General features: G+C 35.7%; 1 protein-coding gene and 1 long non-coding RNA gene across 12 annotated transcripts in view; one reads left to right on the top strand and one right to left on the bottom strand.

Moving 5' to 3' along the window:
• Positions 1 to 26,031, top strand: part of LOC349160 (uncharacterized) — a 265,569-nt gene that overhangs the window by 142,700 nt on the left and 96,838 nt on the right. The window lies entirely within an intron of this gene.
• CHRM2 (cholinergic receptor muscarinic 2) overlaps positions 1,429 to 26,031 on the bottom strand; it is a 151,562-nt gene continuing 126,959 nt past the window's right edge. For all 11 annotated transcript variants that reach the window (NM_001378972.1, NM_001006630.2, NM_001006627.3 and 8 more), the window contains one exon: positions 1,429 to 6,822. In NM_001378972.1, coding sequence (NP_001365901.1) covers positions 5,376 to 6,776 — 1,401 coding nt within the window. In that variant the 5' untranslated portion in view covers positions 6,777 to 6,822 and the 3' untranslated portion in view covers positions 1,429 to 5,375. The remainder of the gene's footprint in view (positions 6,823 to 26,031) is intronic.

The raw sequence follows: 26,031 nt of genomic DNA, 5'->3' as shown, positions 1-26,031 counted from the left end.
CTCCAGAACTATGAGCCAAATAAACCTCTTTTCCTTATAATTTGCCCAGTCTCAAGTATTCTGTTATATCAACAGAAAACAAATTAAGACATTATTCTAATGGTACTTCAAGTAAATTTATCATTATGGTTAGTTTTAATCCCTGGTATAAGAGCGTGGCACTAAAAGCTTCCCAAGAGAGAAAATATTGGAAACATGTTATGAGGTGGAAAGTTCTTCCTTAATGATGGCAAGATGTTTTTGCTGTTTCATTATTTGCAATCATCTAGTCAGGAATAGCATTTGGCATTTCATCGATATACAATTCAATTCAGTTCTCAAAAATGAAATGAGAACACTTCACTGGAACAATATAAAACTAATAGGAATTGATAGAAAACTCAAATATTTTTCTTTTTCTAGAAATGACTTTGGTATAGACGAAGACATCAATTCACAGTGTGAATTGTCATAGGTAAAATTTAGAAAGTAAATAGACATAGAATTATGCCTTAAAATTTGGAGAGAACTCAAATTAATTAAAAAATGACTACAACTGCATGACTTGGTCTCTAAAAGCTGTAATAGTAATCCTTTAAATGTTCAGTATTTACACTTTTTATATTAAAATGTAAACATCTCCTGGAATTGCACGTCCAGTGGCAACTAATATTATAAGTGTATTAGCTAACTACAGATTTGTGTTAATGGATCAATGCAAATGTTCTCGGAAATGTGCGTAGTCGAGAGGCAAACAAGGAAAGGAAGAGGACTGCTATTGAGAAAATATAGGCCACTTAGAAAAAAAAACTACCCACTTAAAATTTCATGGGGAAACTTCTAATATTATGCTATACCTCATTAAACATTTCTGGAAGTTAATGTATGGGATGTTGTATTGGACCGAAATTGAAAAGAGTAGTTTATTAAAATATGGTGCTTATACAAAGTTTACCTTGGTTGTCAGAATGAAAAGCACTCTGAAGGTCATCCTTTTCTCCCAGTATGATTATTTTTTATTCCACTAAAATCAGTTAATTTGGAAGAGAGTGAAACTGTATGAGAAAGGGTTGGTTGCAACCTCATCAAGTAATCAGACACTAGATCAACACAGCTGTTGGAACAGTACCAGCTGGGAAGATTCTAGTCAGAAGAGGCATGTCAGGGGCACAGGCGAATAAAGCATTGTTGTCACATGGAGTGATACCAGAAAAAATTATTAATTTATTCCTGTGAGAGATATTTGAAATCTGCCCTGTTCTTAAAGATCATAAAACAGTTTAATCTTAATATGGGATTTTGGCTGTTCTTAAATCTCTTCCTTCTAATGCAAATGCTATTTTCTTTGAAAATTGGGCATATAAAATCAACTTTGTTATTCAGAAGCAACATATACCATATTGCGTATTAAGAGTTTGTGTATAATATATTTATTTGCATACAGAAATATGTATTTCTATTGTACATTTTATTATTTTATTTATAGAATATATATATATTTAGCACATAGCATATTCCAGGAAGATACATTAAATATGCACACATTTCATGCTACAGCGTGCACCCTTTAAGAGAAGCATTTTTAAGAGGCATGGTATTGAATATACATGCTGAGAATACACTTTGCACAATTTCATCCAGCTTTGGGTGCTTTCCTAAACTATTTGCAACACCGGTACTATGGTTGTTGAAAGGGATATTATCAAACTGGGGCGAGGAGGAAACTGTCAATGAACTAAGTAGGAGAAAATAAAAACAGACTGCATTGCTGAGTAATTGTTGCCATCATTTTGAATTCCCATCTCTCCCAATGTCAGATCTTCAGGATCAAAAAAGCAAATGAACAAAGAGCAGGAGTATGTTGGACATCCAGCTTGTACATTTCAAATCAGAAAGCTTACCCGTTGTGGCTTCTCATATTGATTACTCTGCCCTAATACTTGGGAGCTGGCGTTAAATTAATGATGAACTGGTAAAAGGAAAATCATTTCTTGTTTCGAAGAAATGAACAGACTTTTTCCATATTCTTAATCTCCTCTTCTTATAATATCACTCTGGGATAGCTACATTATTGCTATGAGGAGAGAAAAAACAAAGACCTTACAGATACACCTTTCCAGTAAATGCAAAGAAGATAAATGATATTGTTTCTGAAAGAGGCTCTTAATATTTTTTGAAAGGAAAAATTGCAGCTCCAGTAGAAACTGATCATATCAACTGCAAATATTTTGATGGCCAACTACTGCAACCTCAATTGACTAGATCTGTGGCAATCATAATTGAACATTAAGATGCTGGAAAAAAGATGTGCGATATGCATAGTCTGGTGATTTTTGATATGTAGATGTGGCCTGAGTTCCCAATCTGTGACTGACACATACACCAGACTCAGGAGAAAAGTTTTTCTGATACATGGTTGGTGAGTATTACCTTTTTCTAACAGGTGAGGAATTTGCATTGATATTCTAAAAATAATGCAGGGTTATTTTCCCACTAATAAGAGGCAAGCTTTAGAAATCCCTTAAAGTAGACAAGAATTTCTCAATCTTGGAACTATTGACATTTTGAGCCAAATAATATTTGTTTAAAGGGGTTGGGGGAAAATGTCCTGAGCATTATAGGCTATTTAGCAGCATTCCCAGCCTCTATGCACTAGATACCAATAGCATTCCTCCCAGTGTGGCAACCAAAAATGTCTTTACACATTGCTAAGTGTCCCCTTTCGGGGAGAGGGGAATTGTCTCTGTTTGAGAGCCACTGAAATAGACAAATCCAGCAGTGGTTAATAAAAATCCTTGAATATAATCTCCATATCTCTCCAATCATCTATCATTTTCAGTATTCCTTCCATTTTTCTTATCTGTTTGACGTAGTTTCCATGGTGTCAGCCTATCTTCAATTTCTTTCTTTAAAGTGACAGTTTCTCTTTCAATGAGGTTGCAGTGGCTGTGGCAAGGATCAATAACAGAGGGAGGAAAAGGAAGGATACAATGGCAGCAGAGACTAAAAGCTTGATTCATGGTGCGTTGGATTATTAGAGCAAACAAAAAAAGACCCTGAATCCTGAATCCTGGATGCCAAAGGGTTCTTCCCAACTGAAGCCAAATCTACATAATAATAATACAATACATTAAAAAGGGAAATACTTGGCTAGTCAATTCTCTGGTTTTCAGAAACTCGAGGAGCCCACTGGCTTGACGTTATTTCCGTTCAACTGATTCCTTCATTTGAAGAAACAATATGAAAATAAATATGAATTTAAAATGTAAAAGTGCATGTTGAAGTAACTGTAGGTAAGGGAATCTCTATAAATGAATGCTTTAAATATGGAAGATTACTTTGGGGGGGTAATGACTGAAGTTATTTAAACAGGAAATTGTTTTTACGAAGGATAAGTCAAATATAAATACTGCTGGCAATTTGCTTCTTACTAACTTATAAGTTTTTTGGTTTTTTTTTTCCCTCATGCTTTTTTTCCTCCTTAACTCTCCAAAATGTTGAGGTGGCATCTATGAGGCTAATCATACAAAATAATTCTTTTAAGTGCTGGGGTCTAATATTGATAAATTTACCATGTAACTAACATTATTATTACTGAACAAGATATCATAAATCTAAAATCCAAAATATGAAATTTGCAAATGCGTTTATAATTTGATTTCCATTGATTGAGCCATTTTTAGAAAATCTCATTGGAAAACTACAGCAAATACTGTAAGAAAAATATAAAGGATAAAAATAACTAGTTGTATGTGAATCCGTATAATCCTAATCCTATATTTATTTAGACGACCAAATAAAAAATCTCTACGTGGCAAGATTCTATATAATGCCACCACTTAGATAATAGTTCCTGACATGATTATTATGGTCTAGAATTAGATGGTGAGATGTGGCATGGCAACAGCCACCTACCTCCTTCTGTCAGATTCTGTAAGCTCGTTTGGCCTCTATTTAGTTAGCCACTACATTTCTGTCACAAAGATTACTATAATTCTATTGATAAGAGAATTTTGAAGTTAAATAATGTTAGGGAGAATTGACAATTTGAGGAATATGGAATATGTAATTGTTTCAGTAATAGTTTTTAAAATATCGTTTTTTCCCCTTTCATGGGGTCATAGGATAATTGCAGACATCCTCACTTGGTTATAATTTGAATATCATCCTTTAGCAGGCATTGGATAGAAGGTTCTATTCTCTAGGGACTGGCCCAGAAATCACTGGTGCTATGTGAGTATGTTAATCCTGTTTAGGATTCCAAATAAATAAAACAGCATTCCTTTCTGCTGAGAAAGTCAGGAGTTCATTTTCTATAAGTTAACATTTCATACATGGGTCAGGCAAATTCAGGTTGAAATAGAAAGTCCTAAACTTCTATTTTTTAATCTTAAAATTCACCTGACTTTAATAAACTTGGTCCAACTAGATAGTCCATTATTTAATTTGATGAAACCTCAACTTTACAGTGACGATGGTTTCTTAAACAGGTTTATGTTTTAGGTAGGATATTCTGTTGATATAAAAGGCTATTTAGGAGAAAATCAGATTGGTTTAAACATTTCGCATATAGGATTATAAGTGCACTAAATCCTTATAGACCTTGATATCCCCAACGAATGCAAAGGACACAGTGAGGAGGGGTGAAACGTCCATTTTCATGGCTGTCTCTGGCTAGCTTTAGTGAAAGTCCTGTAGGTTTTCCCTATAAACAATATAGAACAGGGATGTACAAAATAGTGGCATAACAAGAAGAAAAATGGTGTGACCTAGTTGGGGTTTCTGTTTGTTTGCTTTCTCTTCATGGTGGGAAAAAGAAAGGCAAAAAATAAGCATTTATTACATTCCAATCCTCTAAATAGGACCGTAACAAAAGAATAAAATATGCTTAACACTCCGGAGACAATTTCTGCATCCTTCTTTGATTTTCTTTTTTTATGTCCCCATTGTATAGTGCCTATTTCTTTATGTTTAAGTCTCCATGTTTACCTTGTAACTGTGGCATTTCCTTCTCTTAAGGACACATGAGAACAACAACAACAAAAGTAACAAAAAAGGAACAAGGTTATTCCTCTTGTGCAGAGACTGATAAAATTGTAGAATCAGAAGCCCTTCTTCAAGAGATTATGAGAAACAGTGTATAGTTTCTTAAATCCACGATCCCAACATGTTTCTTTCATTGTCTCATTGCTCCTAATACTGACAGTTTATAAGGTGCAATTTTTGCAAACTGGAGCCTAGGCGTGATAAGTGTGTCACTGCTGGGCTCCTGAATTGCACGTTTTGTAATCAGACTATAAAGTGCAATGGCAGAGATTTTAAAACTAGGAGCTCGTTTATCCCTTTTATTCTTCTCAAGCTCCCCTTGCCCACCTTCTATCTTTTTCAAAGATATTTTACCTTGTAGCGCCTATGTTCTTATAATGACACATGAGAAGGTGTTTAAAGGTCTTCTTGAAGGTGGCATTGCAAAGTGCATAGCAGGCAGGGTTGATAGTGCTGTTGATGTAACAAAGCCAGTAACCAATTGTCCACACAGTGTTGGGGATGCAAGGTGCACAAAAGGTGTTAATGAGCACCATGACATTGTATGGGGCCCAAGTGATGATGAAAGCCAACAGAATAGCCAAGATTGTCCTGGTGACTTTCTTTTCCCGGGAAGGAGGAGGCTTCTTTTTTGCAGGCTGCTTAGTCATCTTCACAATCTTGCGGGCTACAATATTCTGCTTTTCATCTCCATTCTGACCTGAAGACCCCACTACCTCCACGGTGGTATTAGTTGGGGTACATGAGTCACTTTTTGGGGTCTTGGTGCCAATTCTGATGCATGTTTGCTTAGAGTTCTCATCTTTGGAATGGCCCAGGGAAGTGGAAACTGTGTTTTCATCCTGGGTTATTTCATCATCTCTCATATTAGAGGCAACAGCACTGACTGAGGTGGAGTCATTGGAGCTCTCCTTCTCCTCTCCCTGAACACAGTTTTCAGTCACAGGATCCCTGGGGGCTTTGCCATTCTGGATTTTGTTGTGCTCCAGGCCATCGTCACTGCTGGGCATGTTGTTATTGTTTGGCTTCACTATCCTTCCTTGTACCAGACTTGGAGAAACGGGGTCTTGGTTGGCAACAGGCTCCTTCTTGTCCTTCTTTATCCTGCTCTTGCTGGCTCGGGATATGTGCCAATATAGCACAGTCATGATGATCACTGGCAAATAGAAGGCTGCAATAGCCGTACCAAAGGTGACAGCAGCATTGGAAAAAAACTGAATGTAGCACTCCCCATCCTCCACAGTTCTCACCCCTACAATGAACTGCCAGAAGAGAATGGCTGGAGCCCAGAGGATGAAAGAGAGGACCCAGGCAGCTGCAATCATCATACCTGCCATTTTTGTGGTCCGCTTGACTGGGTAGGTCAGAGGTTTTGTGACACAGAAGTACCTGTCAAAGCTGATGATGAGCAGATTCATAACTGAGGCATTGCTGACCACATAGTCCAGGGCTAGCCAAAGGTCACACACCACAGGTCCCAAAGGCCAGTAACCAATCACAGTGTAGAGGGTGTACAAGTTCATGGAGAAAACACCTATGATAAGGTCAGCACAGGCCAAGCTGAATAAAAAGTAATTGTTGACGGTCTGGAGGTGGCGGTTGACTTTAATGGAAACCATGACTAGGATGTTCCCGATAATGGTCACCAAACTGAGGGATCCAGCCACCAGGACAATAAACACCACTTCAAATGTCTTATAAGGACTTGTAAGAGCCAGGCTATTGTTAGAGGAGTTTGTTGAGTTATTCATTTTGCGTTCTCTAATCAGTAGCCAAGTAGCAAATAAACATTTAAACCTGCAAGGAAATAGAATAAAATTAACAAACATAATATAAACATTGGTTTAAAATACATAATGTTGTTTCTCCTTTTAAACCACATTATTTTCTCCCAAATCTCCCTTCCCCTGCATGATTACTGTGTCTACCTGCCTCAATTCCCCATGTAAAAAGCAAGACCTTCAAATGGAGGATTCAAAAGGACCTTTCAGGCTGGCAATGAACTTGAAGTCCAGTAATGTTTTAAATATGTCCTTATCCAGATATGAGTATCTATCTACCTACCTATCTACCTATATATCTCATCAATCCATGAAACTTAGCATAATACTGATAAATTGAATTAAATAAACCAAAATTACAAACAACACTTTCTAAAACATCAAGGGATTCCTGGAATAGACATAAAAATTAGTAAATTAGTGAGAGGACACAATTATAGAAGAAAGCATAGAATGTATAATATTGAATGTGTGACTTTTATAGTTAACAGTGCCTTTCCTCATGGAAGCTCTAAGCCTTTTTCACAATAACACTGAGGATGGTGAAAATAAAGATAATATAATAATACTTAATAGCCAGTATACTCTCCCTAGATGAGAATTATTTTCCTCTTGCCTCTATTTTATTTCATACTTGTAATCAGTATTACATAATCAGCATTTCCAATATTCCATATCTTACACAAGAATATTTGCTTATTAAATGCATATTGAACTGAAAAAGCCAAAATTATGCATAAGACTTTCCAAAGCATAAAGAGATTTCTGGAATAGACATACAAATTAATACATCAATAAGAAGACAAAATTATGGGAGAAAATACCACTTTTCTGAATGTTTTGTTTTTCAAACCACTATCAAATCTATTATCTTACTATTCTTTCTGCCAAACTTTTTGTTTTGTAGAAGGAACTAAGGCTCAGAAAGATGAAATCCCAGTTTGTTCAGTCATTCATTCTTTCACTTTGTGCTCACATATCTATTGAGCAGCTTCTCTTAATTAGGTGTTCTGGACGTTCAATGATGATTAAAACAAGGTCTCTGCCTGGTGGCAGACATGGGTTGATGAAGAAGCAATTATTAAACCTGAATGCACTTCTTGTTTCCCTATCCTGTTGTGTGTAAGTAAACACATAATCATCATTTTTGAGATAATATCATTGAAGTCTGATGACAATTGAGTGATCTTTCATAATGGAAAATGTATATTGGGGATTTAGAAAAGAAAGTTAAGAATTCATCAAAGAGATATGACACATTTCTGGAGAAACAGCATCTGAAGCAGAAACTAGCCCAAGTTCCACCTCTTTTTGAAAAAATTGCTGTGAGCTGTCAGAAAATAAGCATTGCTGAGAAATTAAAATTTGGGAATATTGATTAGTTTGGATGCTATTAATTACAAAGAAATGGGCAGTGGTTTGCCCTTGAAATCCATGTAGAAAATAATTTGGTAAGCAACTTCATAACACAAATAACATTTAAAAAAATAATTTTTTCTGCTTTGGAAAGTCAATTGTTTTCCAGTATTTTATTTGACAAAACCCAAATAATGGGATTTGGCCTTAATATAATAAGACCCAAAATTCAGAAGCCAGAAAGGAAAATATATGTAACTGTTGCATATTCCTTTAAAATTTTTGCATAGAGCAAAAAAGTCAAAATAACAATTGAGAAACAATATTTGTAAATTGCACGATAGAAAATTATCCAATGTCTTTAATATAATAGAGTTTTGGCAAAAAAGGAAAGATGAAAGATGAATAATCTAAAACATTGATGTAGTAGTTCAATCAAAGAAAAATTAGACATTAATGACTTTTAAACATATGAAATGATACTCAACCCCACAGTTTAAAGATGCAAATCCAGACAGTGAAAAACAATTTTCCATCCGTAGTATTAATGGTAGTGTTGAATACTTTTGGTGGGACTAGCGGGATAATCACCACGAAGGATAATGTATCTATATCTATAGAACTTTAAATCTGTATCTATAAAAATGTATTAAGAAACACTTGTCTCAGGAATGCCACATTTAGGAATGTGTCTTTCAGATAGAGTCATAAAAATGTACAAAGAGGTCTACTCAAGTATGTTCACTCAGAAATGTTGTTATAGCAAAAAAATCCCGAGATATATTAAAACTATTCATTGACAAGGGATTGGTTAAATATATTATGGAATACTCTTACAATGGAATATTATGCGGCTAGTAAAACAGGTAGATATTTGTGTCCTGGCATTGCTGTGGAAAGTTATATAGTTAGAAGATGACATAATCATAGTGAGACATAGATTATTACAGAATATAATTTTATTTAAGCAAAAAGGTGATTATATGTAATATTACATATGTATGCCTGCAGCTCATTGGGAAATATTGAAGAGTTTAATCAGGGAAATGATGTTAATGGAATGCAACTTAGATCAGTTGAATTATTTTAATCGGATTTCCCTTTGACAATCCTTTTTTGCAATTAATCATACAATTGTATATTCATGGTAATTTATTTGAACAAAAACATTTTATTATCCCAGTTCTTATTCCAACAATTTCTTAATAGCTCAGCTAACTGTAAGATCAGAATTGTGACTTGCTTATAAGCAGCATTTTCTCTGTTTATTAGATAAATTCATGGACAGTTTGGAGTTGAGCTATATGTGTATCTGTTTCATGAAATGTTAATATTAATTCACTTAGTTTGAAAAATACAAAAAATGAATGTATTGACTCTGCATTTTAATTATTCATAATTTTGATAAAGCATAGGACTTATATTCTAGTTTTTAAAAGATTTTTGATAATTTCCTCTGGAGAATAATGAATAACACTGATGTTGAAAAGTAGGGATTCAAAATCAACTAGTTTGATGAGGATCTAAATTGCTAAGGTCCAAAATCCCCAAAATTACAATCCTGAAAGATTAAAATTCTGAATGTTGAAATCCTGAAAGCTGAATTCTGGAAAAGGGGTTGGCATTTCACTTGCATGCAGGATGGTCTCATCACATTGGCCTGCATCATGTTAGGTGGAACCATCACCTTGTTACTGCTTTTATTTGGAAATAACATATAGTTTGAGGAGATGTATATGAACACTAGGCTGACAAGTGGTGGACTTGTGAACTTAATTTTAGGTGTCAACTTGGCAGAATTAAGGAATACCTAGAAACCTGATAAAATATTAATTCGGATGTGTCTGTGAGGGTGTTTCCAGAGGCAATTCGTGTTTGAGTGTGAATGGACTAGATGGGGAATTTTGCCCTCAGTGTTGGAGTGCATCATCCAATTGGCCAGAGCCCAGTGAGAACAATTTCAGAAGGTGACTTGATCTGTCTTGGAAACTGTGATAGACTTTTCTTCTGCGGTCTTGGACATCAGAATTCCAGGCAGACCGGGCTTTGAACTCCAGGACTTACACCAGGAGCCCTAGGGTGCTGAAGCTTTCGGCCTCATTCTAAGAGTTACACCATCCACTTCCCTAGTTCTGAGGCCTTTGGACTTAGCCTGAGCCATGCATCCTGGGGTCTCAGGCTTGCAGATGGGACTTCTCAGCCACCATAAACCATAAACACTTGAGCCAATTTTCCTAATAAATCCATATATATATATATATATACACACACACACACACACACACGTACACATATATCCTATTGGTTCTGTCTCTCTGGAGATTCCTAATACAGATTTGGTATTAGAGAAGCTGAATATCATGCCTCAAATATGTATTATCTCACTTAACATTAACAACTACATAAAATTTATGGAACAATTTCTATCATTCCCTTAACGTGATAAAACTGAGGTTGCACAAGTGGTTAAAGCAACTTATTCTTGATCACAATCACAAAGCTAATGAGTAAATAATCTACAACTAAAACCAACATCCTTACCTTGCAGTTATACACACTCGCTCTGTTTCCCTTGCCCTTTGAAGAATTATACTCTATCCAGTAACGTGTGGAATTGTTAGGCAGCAGGACAGTGATGAACTACACTCAGAGGTTGCTAGTTTAAGACATTTGGTTTCCGGTAAACTGGAATTCTTACTCAGGTAGAACACAATAAATTTATGTAATGTTAACAAACTTAGTTGCTATTACAGTCTCTGAATTTTTAGAGTTATAATATTTGCCTGATTATACTAATATTGTATGTAAAAGTGGAAAACATTTTTCTTAGAAGCAATCGCAAGCAGTGGAAGGCTGTCATTTCTTTCTCTCAGCATGATGCACAGGCCATGTGGAATCGTTCCTCTTCCGCTGAAGAAAGCAGTTTCCTCCTGCAAACTGCATGCCAATTCTACTCTTTAAATTTCTGTAAAAGTTTTTAGATGTGTTGCGGCATCATAGGGTGGTGTTAAAGCAATAAAAGTTGATGAAATAACATAATCTCATGAGACTACACAATGAAGATGACCTTCAAGAACTCAGCATCTTAAGATGGCAAGTGTATAGCAATAGCCCATTTGGTATTTTACTGCCTAGTTTATGACTAAGGCCTGGAAGTACTATGGAAACTTATAAGACAATGTTTCTGCCCTCAGTTTCTTCACTACTTGCTTTCCCATACATGGCAGGGAAGACAGAACCACAGTTTAACATCTTCCTTGAAAAGGTGTGGGTGCTAATCTTTGCTCTTAATTATTAGCTGTGAGACTCTGAGCATGTCATTTAAATTTCGTGAACCTCAATTTTCTTTTTTCTCAAACAGGAATAATAATAACCCTCTTTTTCTTTCAGAGTTGTAGTAAGGATGAAAGTGAGATAATGTCTCTGAACTATGATCTATTAGTATTAAGTATTAAACAAATGCTGTTAATGTTAAAATTTGACAAGTGAGTATAGAATTATCACCTTTCTTAAGAGTGAACAGAAAATTATGTGTATGTGTATGTGTGTGTATCAGCTATCTTAAGAGTGGGAAGGTATGGGGCGCAGGGTTAGAGGTAACACTAAATTGTCATTATCAATGATATTAAATTATCGATAATATTAAATTATCAATACTACTACTGGTAATGATAATTAACATGTCTTGAGCATAATTACTCTCCAAAACAACCCTGGAAGTGTTAGGATGTTTATTATACTCCTTTTATAAATGTTGAACTAAATATCAAATAATTAAGCTACTTGAGATTCAAACCAAGGGCACCCAACTCCAGACTCTACTATGAATACTCAGTTTTTGGCAGAGGAACAGTGTCATGTAGCTGCTACTGCTCACTCACACATTTCTCCTTCTGACCTGATATGACTAAGTCCAACACCCCAACATTGAGTTGGGACCTTGGTTTAGACCACAGAGTGAAAATCATTGTGTCCAGGACAATACTGGGGCTTTGGGCAGGAGACATTCACAATAAGCTAGGGAGTCAGTAAGTAGGGTTCTGCACATGAAAATATGTGACATTTAAGATTCAAAAAATTGTCTTAAAATTAATCTTCATAAAACATATCACCATGTGAATTAATGAATAGATTCCCATGTAAGTATTCACATCAGTGGACAAAAAAAGTTCTAAATATTGACAATGACAGATTTTTCTGAATTGTTACAGAGAAAATTAATATAATTAAAAAATAAACTGATATACATTTAGATAAAAGCGGAGAATTATATAAAAAACAAATGGAATTTTCTTCACACACTGCTGAGGTCAGGCAGGATGCCTGATGTATGATGAATGCTTTTGTAGGTGAATTTCTAATGTAATAAGCTAATAATGAATTATCAATACATAAGTAATCTAAGTTTTGGGATTTTTGCGTGTTATTTTATTTAATTCTCACAATAGCCCTGAAAAGAATGACTATTATCTTTTCCAGTTGTACAGATGATAATGATAACAGACCCAGCAAGTGCTGTGATTCAAATTTAGGTCTCTCTGACTCCTGGACCATGTCATTTCCACAATATTACACAATGGCATAAAACCTGCCCCATTAAAAATGTTTTCTAGAAGAAATAGAAAAGTCAAGAAAAAACGAATCCATGGTTGATAACAGCTGAAATCCAGTGACAGAGAAGACATGTAATTGTATAAAAAAATTTGAGAACAAGAAGAAAGTTTGGAAATGAAGAGGAATTCACCTAATGTTTAATTTATACTTGTTTCTATTTCTTTAATTTTTGTTTTAAAAATGTAATCTTAGTATACATGCTTCCTACAGATTTTTTAATTCTGCTGCTATTTGAACACATTATCAAAAAATGGCAGAGTTCTTTGGCGTTTCTTGCCCACCTTTCAACCATTAAGATCTCAAAAGTAGCATATTCACTTAGCAAGTAACAGTGATAAGATAATGAGCCTTATCAATGTTGGCTCAAATGACCAAAACTGATAGAATAGTGATAAGGCCCATGTTAGCCTTCAAATTTTGTATATGAGGGCTAAACACCATAGAATGTCTTTAGAGAATTACAAGTTTACTACAACAATATTATGTTTAGATACATAGCTTTCAGTACAAATTATTACTAAAGAAAACATAAAAAATATAATGATCATGCAAATATGGCAGCAATTCTGGGAAATATCAGAGTATCATTGGAAGCAAGGGTTCACCTACTGAAGAGCCAGCGGTTGGTAGTAAAGGATACTTAAGTATTATCTCTTCCCCACCTTAAGAATGAGATGTGGTTATCATTGATGAGAAAGCAAATGAAGCTTATTCATTTTTAATTTCATATATTTGCAAATAAATATGTTGTATAATAATCCAATGAATGACATTCCAGCTATATTTTTTTTCTGACATAGGAGAGATGACCATTCAGGTATATAATCCATATGCTATTGTAGGTCTTTTAATATTCAGTTAATCCCACTAATTTATAAACTGCATTAGTGAATGTGTTAAATAGGCTTTGAGATTATGTTATCAATAATCACTCCTTCCATTAATGATGCCAGAGAGAAAGACATGAAAAAGAAAAAGAGAGAATTGTGGAGAGACTTATTTAAGGATGTCTTGGGGAGCAAAGTCCCCTTTCTCTAAAGAAAGGTTCAATTGTACACAGTTTTGATATTGATGCAGATGGTGATAGCATAATTTGCTTACATTATAATGACCCTTACCAATCTTGAATGTCCTTAAATTTTGCTTACAGATGGAAGCGAGTCCTGGCCTGGGGCTCAGGAGACAGTCCAGCCCTGCTAGCTAGCAATATTGACATTCCACAGTCTGAGTGCTTTGACAACATCACACAAAATGAAGTAAATTTCCACTTTTTGTTTTTTCTTTTAATCTGGTTTTCCTTTGAGCCATGCAACACATTATGAGTCATTGTACATATTTAGAGCTTTTTTATGAGCTCCTGAATCTCACTACAACAGCAGTTGTGGTGGGGGTGGTGGCCGCAAGGAGTAGTGGGGGCCCTGCTAAGAAATCATGGCTCTCTAGCTTTCTTTATTTCAAAATATCTTACTGAATTACTCTTCTGAGGAGATCCACACATGCCCTCAAGGGCTGTGGGGGATAGAAGTGAAGTAGGAATGGGTGACCAACAAAACAGAACACATTCTTGTCAACAAGGAATTTGCAGTCTAGGGGAGATACAAATTGCTGGTGAAATTTCCAATTTTCTAAAACAACAATGGCCCAATATCATGCTAAGCAACAAGGCTGAGAAACCATGGAGCAAGGCTGGTCAGATGTGGTGAAATAAATACAGAAAGCTCCCTGGAAACCTTTCCTACATCTGTATCTCTCTTTCCCTTTCTCTTTTTCTCCTTTCGCATACCACTGGCTTGTATCTGACATTTTTGGTTTTTCTTTGATTGATTTTTTACTATTCTCAAGATTCTGCGTTATATCTTCTTCTAAAGAAAGTACAAAATACTGCTGGTGGGTTTCTGCTTCAGTACATTGAGCCTGACAACCTGTAGGTTCAAAAGCACACAGAAAAAGACAGCCATGTCCTCACCTACACTGAGTTTTTATATTTCATCTGAAAAGATGTGTTGAAAGTATTCTAGAGGGATGTATAAGTTGTCCATCTTTAGGAAATTACAGCATACGGCGGCAGATTTTACCAGATATGCATTATGTACAACGTTTTGGGGGAAAAAAAAGGCCACACCAAACACATACTGCATTTTATCAAGCTGTACCCTTAAGGTTTGTGTGCAGTGCTAGATGTGAGTTGCACTTTTGTGAAAAAGAAAAAAAAATGTAAAAGAAAATTATAGAACAGAATGAAAGTAGCTGATAAAGCAAACTGATCCTCACATCAGTACAAATAGAAGAGAATTCATGACTTTTTCCAATGTAAAAAAGATCAGGATTATGCAAGGACTTATTACAGTGTAAACATGCTTGCCATTTTGGCTGCCTGTCAAACGTAATACTATTCTTAGTGATGCTGGGACAAACTTCCACTCCATGTCAGCCAAGCTATCTTTTCTCCTCTTCAAAACACATCCTAAACACCACTTACCCAAAAACAGTGTCATAAGGGGGAAATGGGTGTAAAAGCAACTTAACTGGGACCTTTGTCCTTGTCACTACATCCATGGCACCTTTTCATTAATTCGTTCACACAATATACAACTCCTGCCAAAAAGGAAGAGGCCTGGACAATTCTGAATAGAATGAAACCTGAAAATACCCAACCCTTAGACTTTTAAAAATGAAATTCCATCTGAGAGAGGACTTCTGCATCCACCTTTTTCTGTACCAAGGATTTGACAGAACTCAAATATTGATGATGAATGTAATCTAGTAAATGGTGCTGACTAAACAATGTGCTCTAAAGCAAACAGCAGCAAAAGTGGAGAAAGCCCTCTGTCTAAAGGTTGTTTTGTTCCCGCAAGGAAGAAGAGTGAAAGGAAAATGGAAGCAATTCTTGGAGAGCTACAGACTGTCTATGATTAGGCAGCTGTATTTGAATCAATCTGTCTCTCTTACCGTCTTGAGAAACTGGAAATTTGTATAGTCGGCTTTTAGAATTTTGTTTTGTTTTTTCCTAAAGTCGGCAGGCTGCTGGTTTAATAACTCTAAATTAGTTAATTCATTGCTTTGAATTAAAAATGTGAATCAAATTTGCAGAGAATTGAGGCTTTTTAGGACTATGATAGAAAATTCTAGAATAAAAGCAGTTGTTCTAGAGAAGCTGAGCAGCTCCAAACAAAATATCCTTTTAGGGATCCTTTTCAATGGTCTATGTGCCCATTGGAAGCTGAGACAGAGCACATGGCAATGTGGAGCTTTGGATAGTAGGTCAAGGACAACTTTAAAGGGAGGAACAAAAGTCAGTTTGGGAGAAGAGAGAAGATAAAGAGGAAGTTAGTACTTTTCCTCTGAAGAATAGACCAGGATGGTTGGGATAAGAATAAGTGAGATTAGAGGCTGTGAAAATATTAGGAGGTGCACATAGAAGTGAAATTTTTTTCAGAGTATATAGAAAACAAATATTCAGATAGCATATCTTATAATAGTTAAGTAGAGACAAGGACACTTAGTTATACTTAGGAATATATATTTATTTTAAGCATGTCTCTACTTAAGGCTGCATTGCTTATGGAGAGAAAGAGAAAGTTGCTCTTTTCATTAAAATGCCTATTTATATGAAAAGTAAAGCAAGTGGATTGTGTTTTGTAGACATGCTATTATTAGTCATCGCCTCTTAAAACACATGCACTGATAAGTATGAGCTTAATGGACACCATCACTCTTCTAGTAGCCATCCTAGAATGTAGGTATAGGGTACAGAGAAACCAGTTCACCCCCATATAGCTAAATCTTGGTTCTTCTAGCTTTTCAATGACAGAAATGACACAGGCCTCATATAATTAAGATTCATACCAGATTCAACGAAGCTGTAAAAATAAAATAGTAATGAAGTGTGGAGAGTAATGGGAAGCAACTATTTTTATTGTTTCCAGTCGAAAGACAAAATGATTGTTTCCCCAGAGTTTGATTGCAGACTATTTCTAGAACTGAGCCAAATGACCGCAGTGTTATCCCATGAAAACTTGAAAAAATGAGAGCAGGGAGAAGATTAAAGTCTTTACTAAATGATCTAATGGCAATTGAGATGAAGAAACATAAAAAGCTGCATCAACTCAGCAAAGATTTTTGTATCTAAAGCACTAATTTAGAATTAAAATAAAGCCAGTTGGTCAGAGAGAATGAAGAGGTTTATGTGGTAAATCAGGGCAGTCAACTCTCCAGACTGCTTGAAATGAAATGACTTTTTGGTTTATGACCTCAGGGGAATCACAACATAATTGAATATATGTAAGATAAGTCATCACATGCTGTGCCCACCCTCTCTTCCGAAGACCTCAGCCCCTTCCCTCTTCCAACACCCTTAGTGTGAGACTACATCAATATTTAAATACCCTGACTCCTCTTTACCTCCAGACTCTCCAAATACCTGTCTCCCATTTAGACTGAGATATAATTACCAAACCATAATCTTTACCTCTATCAGGGAGTATGTTCCATGTGGACTATGCCCAGTGTGAAAGCTAGGATAAAAAAGTGGCATTTCCCTTCTTGAAATAAACCATCTTGACTTGGAAATGTCCTCAGTACATTTTTTCTGCCCCCATCTCTACTGTGTCATCTGACAAAAAGTAGCTAAATTGTGAGTAGTTCACATACAGAAGTATTTAAATACAATTTCCATTCCTATATAATGCCTGAGAATGGAAGATCTTCCAGTAGACAGCAAATGGATTGGGACTTGTTCATAAATCTTCTAGGCAGTGTGGTTTTTCCTTGAAGCACAATTGTATTAGTCCATTCTCAGAGTGCTATGAAGAAATACCCAAGACCGTGTAACTTATAAAGGAATGAGGTTTAATTGACCCACAGTTTCACAGGACTGGAAGGACCTTAGGAAACTTACAAGCATGGCAGAAGGGGAAGCAAAGGCGGCAGGGGAGAGAAGTGCCGAGCAAAAGGGGAAAAGCCCCTTATCAAATCATCAGATCTCATGAGAACTCACTGGCTATCACAAGAACAGCACTAGGGTAACCACCCCATGATTGTTACCTCCCACTGGGTTCCTCCCACAACATGTGGGGATTATGGGAACTACAATTCAAAATGAGGTTTGGGTGGGAACACAGCCAAACCATATCAACAATTATACTACTATCAGCAAAGTTGGTTTAGCATGCATTGTCTGCTGGGTTAGGAGTATACACACCTGGACTTCTAAGATAACATGTTAGAGTAGGATTCTGTGAGTAGTTACTAACCCCAGAATACCCCAAGATGGAAGGAAATAGGAAGCTGAGAGGTTTGGGCCTGGGCCTGTATTTATTCACCTAACTAGTGTGTGTGTGTGTGTGTGTGTGTGTGTGTGTGTGTGTGTGTGTGTGTGTGTGTGTGTGTGTGTATGCATGCATGCATATGCATACATCAAGTATGTTAGTTGAGGAGGAAAGGGTAATAACATATAAGAAGAAAAGAAAGAAAGAATGTCTCTGTTCTTCTAAAGGTTAAGGAAAATTTCTCATAAAGCATCAGTGGAATGTGACAACATGCTGTACAAGGAGAACTTGCAATTCACAAAACAAGACTCCTGTAAGCAATTATGGAAGCTTGAAGAATGGCATTTGATTCTCAGATTCCTCCTTTTGAGGGAGACAGCAGCAAGCCCTACCAGGCTGCATATCTTTCTAAGAGATTTGCTGGCAGAAATGCTGGCTTCATGCTGTATAGGGGATGCAACTGTTCCTTCCATAACTTCGTACCCAGTTAACTGTGATGCATCTGTGAACGCAGTAGACAAGACTTTGGAGTTAAACCTGAAACGGAAGCCTATCTCTGTTATTTTCTCATTGTGTGAGCTTAAATTTGTTGACCCCCTTTCCACATCTAGAAGATCTAGAAGATGTGGAAAATAAAATCTACCATTGACAATATTTTTAAAAAGGCACATAATATAACAGCCTCTTAGCATAATACACCATGATAATAGTGACTGTTAAGCAGTCACTATTACTGAGTCCATTATAATTTAACAGTTGATTCTAATCAACAAGTAGAGCATTTAAAAAGGGACAAAAACAGAAACAAAGCATGTACTCTCTATTTCTCTCAAGAAAATAAGTAACCTGAAATAATTTTTATATTATAGGAGTCTATTCTATGTCACTTTTATTATTTACTTTTACTTATTTTAAGGATTCCAGAAATCTCACTGTCATTCTGTGGTATCCTGATTCTTATGCTGAAATGATATCTTCAATCTATACTTCAAGAAATGTCAATTTAAAACTTAGTGACTAATCCTCTTCCTAACCCAATGGTCAAAGTGTCACAGACAAGTGAACCTCTATTTAAAATTCTTGCTGTAGATCTATGAAAGATTACTTAGTAAATCTAAACTTACTTTTGCTGAAAGCAGTTTATTTTGGAGAAAAAGATGATCTTTCTGAGGGACTAAAGAAAAATTTCTGGTCCTCCACAAATTTAGAACAAATCATGAAACTAAGAGAGAGATGTATTGTTGAAAAATATAAAAATAACAAAATTTCATATGTCAAATTTGAGTGCTTAGAGCATGATCTATAAATATGCATAAAGTTAATTTGTAACTTGCATTTACCATATCACTCTAAATGCTATTTTCAAATAAACAACTTTTTAAAAAATTTCACTTAAACTCTTTTGCTAATTGAAATAAAACAACTTGTGATAAAAAACAAACAAAACAAAACAAACAAAACAAAACAAAAAACCAGAAAGCATTCTTTCTTCTAAATGCCAGTCTTCTTGACCGGCTTTTCTCATATTTTTTCTTTCTTACTCTTAATTATTTATCTTGACAACTTCATTCCTTTTAGCAAGATTCTTCTCTTCTACATATGTATTCATTCTTTCCTTCAACCATTCTATGTTCAGCGAGTGTAGGATGTAGGAGATGGCTTAGGTTGTCTGAAGAACCCCACAGAAGGACAGTTTCCCAATCTCTCATGTCATGTTACTCTTCTGCTGAGACTGGCTAGGATAAAAGAATTAACTTTGTTTATGATACGGTGACTACTATAAAACATTTATCTGGAAATATTATTCCACAGATGAGACACAGCCTTGTCATCCTAGAATTCAGGGGTCGTAACCAGGTTAGAGCAGGCCTCCCATAGCAAGACAAGGGATACAGACCTATTGTATTGCTAGTCCTTTGGTGATGAGATAGCCCCCCACAACCTGCTGAGAAGGCCCTCTCCAGTGTGCCACGGCCAAATCTCATCCTAGCCCTAAATGAAAGGTCTGTGCATCCCCCAACCAGACTTCTCTCTGGTTCATATTTGGCTGTTGGGAAGGAAATACTTAGCTCAAATGTTCCAAGGACAGAATCATTCTCATTCATAGGCCACCTCTTAGTCCCTGTTCTTCATGAAAAAGCATCCTCAGCTCTGTGTCTGCATTTAGGAATGTAACTTATGAACAGCTTGCCTCTGGCTCTTCCTTGTTTGGTTGCTTTCAAAGCCCACTGTAAAGCTCAAAGGTGACAGCTTGACCCGTTTTGCTCAGTATATATATTTTCTTTTTTGTATTGTTATTAAAATAACAAATGACTGTGCATAAAGCCGGCCTCTTTAAACAAGTGCTAAACTAGTAAATCACAGTGGGAACAACCCTGTCTGAGGGGGGAGGAGGAAGTAGCTAGACTACAGAAAGACCAAAAACAAGCATTGAAGGGGGCAGGGATGAAGATGTGGGGTGGGGAGTTTTCATTATGTTTGGCACAATGCCCAGTACATCCTCAGATTTCCAAGCTGTGCTTTAAAATGTAGATTGGAAGCCTCTTGAATAAAGTTTAATTTCTGTCTATATGTGATCTCAAGTTTTATAACCAAGTTTTTAACACTCACCCTATAGCTGGCTTCTTTATTCTAAGTATGAACCACACATTCCTTCTCAAACAAAACAAACCCTTAAATGGTTAAAGGCTCAATGGAGTTATAAAACTCAAACAATATTTTCATATGCTGGGGTTAAGCGAATTGGAAAATTATGAATCACTCAATAAAGTACACAAGGATATAAAAGCCAAAGGATAAAAAATCGTGACAGGTGTTTTTGGTTACATGCATTGTAGTGCTTGTGTTGGGATGGATTAAAAAAAAAAAGGTGAACAGACAGACCCCTATTTTATAATGTGATGGTAAAGCAAAATAGAAAGAAGAAGTGATTTAAAGGAAAGGTAGGTTAAGGAAAGGTAGGTTAAGGAAAGCCTTTAAAAATATTTGGTTTACTTGCTTTTTTTCCCTTCCTTCCTTCCTTCCTTCCTTCCTTCCTTCCTTCCTTCCTTCTTTCTTTCTTTTCTTTCTTTCTTTTTTTTTAATAATAATATATTATGAGACTAGGCGCGGTGGCTCACACCTGTAATCCCAGCACTTTGGGAGGCCGAGGTGGGCAGATCACCTGAGGTCAGGAGTATGAGACCAGCCTGGCCAACATGGCAAAACCTCGTCTCTACTAAAAAAACAAAAAAATAGCTGGGCATAGTGGCGGGCATTTATAATCCCGGCTACTCTGGTGGGTGAGGCAGGAGAATCACTTGAACCTGGGAGGTGGAGGTTGCAGTGAGCCGAGATTGCGCCACTGCACTCCAGCCTGGGTGACAGAGCGAGACTCTGTCCGAAAAAAAAAAAAAAAAAAAAAAGAAAGAAAAAGAATTATGAAAGACAAGCTGAACAAAAGAAAATACTGATGAGTGAGGGTCTAAAGGTTTAAAAGCAATAGTTGACTCTGGCTAGGTTGGGAGTAGTAGAAAAATAATTACCTTTACAGTTTGTAAAATTGTCATCTGTGCAATAGGTCTGTTTGAGATGTTGTTTTAGTACTTTCTGTTATTTAGAAAACATATTCATGGATTTCTTAAGCTCAGGTGAATTGTATAGCTTTGCTCTACTTATTCCATATAATAACAATTTTCATGAAGTCACATCCTCTTACATTCATCACCATTTATTACTGGACTCTATAAGTTTGTAATACATAAATTTGCTAACAGTTGTTTCCCGTTCACCAACATTTCCAGAAATTGAACCTTGGTTGCAGACTGTGGCAGCATTTATGTAGTATCGGGAAGCAGTTGGGAACAGAAGTATCTGTACTATTTACTTATCCTGTATGTAGAACAAACAGCAGCAGATTTTGGATATCCAGAGCAAGAATGTGTCATGTGTGACTTCTGTTTAACTATTAGTAGCTTTAAAAATACACTCATAGGTGGGAATTGAACAATGAGAACACATGGACACAGGAAGGGGAACATCATACACCGGGGCCTGTTGTGGGGTGGGAGGAGGGGGGAGGGATAGCATTAGGAGATATACCTAATGTTAAATGACGAGTTAATGGGTGCAGCACACCAACATGGCACGTGTATATATATATGTAACAAACCTGCACATTGTGCACATGTACCCTAAAACTTAAAGTATAATTAAAAAAAGAAGTAAAATATATTTTATTTTATTTAAAGTTCCAGGATACATGTGGAGGATGTGCAAGTTTGTTACATAAATAAACGTGTGCCATGGTGGTTTGCTGCACCTGTCAACCCATCACCTAGTTATTAAGCCCCATGTGCATTAGCTGTTTATCCTGATGCTCTCTTTCCCCTCCCCGATGGTACATTTTTGAAAGATAATGAACAGTAATAAACATCGTTCATGATGACTCAACTGATTTCCATTTTTAGGCTATATAGTGAACAGCAAATAAACAGGGTAGGGAAAGAAGTACATGAATTAGCAACAGTGTTCATGGGCGAATTTCATGACTAAATTAAATAAACCTACTATGTGAAATAAGCCCCAATCCCAAATTATCAATGTATCTAAGTGAGGGTTTTTTCTACAATTTTAAAATTTGATACTGCCTTTATTTTCTTGCAAACTACCTATTTGGCGTGATTAACTAACTGGTAGCTACTTCTATTGTTTGCTCCTCCTGAGTCACTATGTGCACATGTTTTCTTTTTTAATTTAATACTTTGGGGTGTAATCTGAGAGGGGTTCTTATTTAGAATATGTTTCATCTCAAAAATAAAAAAATTTGCAAGATGATGCCTTTTTCAGGAACTCAAGCAAATTGACAGTAGACACATTGTCCACCCAAACCACCTCTCCGTTTCTCACGTTGATCTGTTTGTTTTTAAACAGAAATGTTGATCTAAACTCATGGAAAAGGCATGTGCATGTGATATTAAAATATGTGCATTGTCATTCCAGAGATGCTATTTCATTTCTCTGAGTTTGATTTTTGTCCCTGTGGCAATGAGGACATTTGACTCTAACATCTCTTTCATCTCTAAAAGAGTCTTAGGATTCTAATTTTACTTGAATTCTCTTAGGATCCATATGATGCTGACTGAGAGGTCAGAGATGATGTCACTCACGTCTCCCTTAGATCTGCATTTTCCTAAATACTGTACCCTGTGTATCTACAAAAAGAAAACAACTCAATCTCTCTTGAATTTATGCTACTTCGGCCTTGTTGGCCTTATGGAAGAGGACTCACTTTGTGTCAGCTGTGGTTTTCTTTGTCACTATCTTCAATCCTCCCACCTTCAATATCCTGGTACATCTCAGCTTCCTTCTGTGACCCTTCATCCATGCAGGCTTGAAAATTAGATTCAAATTGCTATCTGTATCTTCATTTCACTCTCAATATTGAAACGTATGAGCTTGAACTAATTCTCTCAATCTAGCTCCATATGTACCTACTAACTCATTAAAAGCCAGCTGTAGCATTGGAGCAAGAGATCATATATTAGAGAAGGAAAGCAATTTACTTGGCAAGTTCATTTGTATATTCTCTTCAATGTCATAGCAAAGGTTTGTCCTTGGGATAAGGGTGTTTTCTCACCCAGTCTGTCTCTCCAGCTGTCTGATTCCTCAATTAACTGACACCTCTGTGGCAGTGATTTCATCCTGTGCTTATTTAGTGGACAAACTAAATAGTGATCTGATGACTTACATGCTTATTTCACAGCATTACTGTAATTTCTGCCTATGTAGCCCTGCAAGAAGGGAGGGAAATTAAGGAAAGTCTTCTGGAGAGGGCATGTTTCAGACATGCTACAACTATTTGCCAAGGGTAAGGAAGAGTATTCTGACAATTTCCACTGGAAGCCTGAAATCTAAACAAAATTCCAAAGATCAGACAAGAATAAATTCTTTCTTGTACAGTATTATGTTTTGTGTTGCAGAGCAGAATTCATTGCCAATGACAGGTGCATTGAGTCTCAAAGATGCTGTATCTTTCTTTTTAATTTAAAAAACACATGAGATTGATCTTCCATATGTATTTGCTCTGCTTTGAAACCTTCATCTGCGTTTGGACATTAAAAAGTAAAAATTATTTCTTTTTCTGATTTTCAAATTAGAACATTTAGAGAAGTAAACCGAAGAAAAAATATTCTCGATCATTTATATTTGACTCACAAGGGCCATCCACTTTACCTGATTATTCAAGAGATAAGTTTCTTCTAGCCAACTTCAGGGGATAAAACAGTGAAGAGTATCAATATATTTTCCATTGTCAAAGACTGTGTAGCATGGTTGGAAGCAACTGTGAACTTTTACTGCTTTTGAAATCTTGTTTATCTTCCTACACACATACATGAGCATGCAATACACTCATACACATATACATGTACTATTTTAAAGTTTTAGATTACATTGTATATATCAATGCATTATTTCACTGGGGCCAGGCAAGGGATTGAAGAGCAAAGGAAGGAAGCTGGCATAAGTTAACATATGCACACTGTACAGCTGGTAGTCCTTGGAGGGGGAGAATCAGAAAAGCTGTCAACTACTCCACTGTTGAGATACAGCTGGGTGAGAATGTGGACACAGAGTTGTCACATATTTAGAATTATAAAGAAACACTGAAAATCTGGATTTTTATACTTAACTCTTCAAATTTTTAAATCTTGGCTCAAAGTCATAAAATACTGAGAAGCCAGCAAAACATGTTTGTGGACAGCTTTGGCCTGTAGGCTCACACTCTATGACCTTTGCTGTTAGTACTGGGTAATAACGTTTTCAAATAAAGATAATCACAGACATTTTCCTATGACATTCGAAAACATCTAATGCATCATTTTTATGGGTACATGATATTTAGTTTTGTGGCATACTATAATTTCATTAAATAATTCTCTATTGGTGACACTTAATTTATTTCTAATTTTTTACTCTAGCATATAATAGTGTAGCAAACTTCCTTGTACATGATTTTTTAATAGATCTATGATTGCTTTCTTAGGATAAATTCCTATAAATGAGATCATTGGCCAAAGTTATATACATTTGCTATTTTGGGTAGCAAAATCCCAATCATAATTCATGAGAATGATATTTTCCTATAGCTAGTAACAAAAATAAGAATAATTACTAAAAAGCTTTGTGAATCAGATAAATAAAATATTCTGTTTGAAGTTTTAGCTATAATTTTATTGATTTGTGAAGTTTTATACTGTTCATGTGTTTGACAATTGACATTTAAATGTACCCTTTGTCTTTTTATAGATGTTTTTACATGTGTTATATCTATTGATACTTATTTTTGTGATATCATTTAAAAAGACTTTCTCCATCCCAAGAAGTTAATATTTAATGATAATTTCCTTTAGCTAATTTATATATTTTATACTTTAAACTGTAATTTATATAAACTATATTTAGAATAAGGTATAAAAAGATCTAATATCAATTTTAAAAAATAATTTAAAAATCACTCCAGAAACATTTATCAGGCAGTTTACACTTTCTCCACAAATTTGAAATGTGGTTCTACCATTTATTACATAATTCCATACACTGAGTTCTGTTTCTGGGCTTTCCATTCTATTCCATTGCTTTATCTGTCTATTCTTACACCCGTAGCAATATTTTTTATTGTAAATTTTATATTATATTAAAAAGCTCTAATTTTAAGTACAACTTATTAGTGTTTTATTTTTAATTATCTTTATTATATTTTCATGCTAATTTATATGACTTTAGAATAATCTGTGAATCCCTTTATCCTTATGAAATTATTATTTTTTAAAATTTTATTTATTTATTTATTTAGAGACAGGTTCTTGCTCTGTTGCAAAGGCTGGAGTGTGCAGTGGTGCAGTCTTGGCTTATTGCAACCTCTGCCTTCCAGGACCATGCAATCCTCCCACCTCAGCCTCCAGAGTAACTTGGACCACAGGTGTGCACCACCACACCTGGGTAATGTT

The sequence above is a fragment of the Homo sapiens genome, chromosome 7, assembly GCF_000001405.40.
Source record: "Homo sapiens chromosome 7, GRCh38.p14 Primary Assembly".
Lineage (NCBI taxonomy): Eukaryota > Metazoa > Chordata > Mammalia > Primates > Hominidae > Homo > Homo sapiens.
This window is presented reverse-complemented; position numbering and strand designations above follow the sequence as displayed.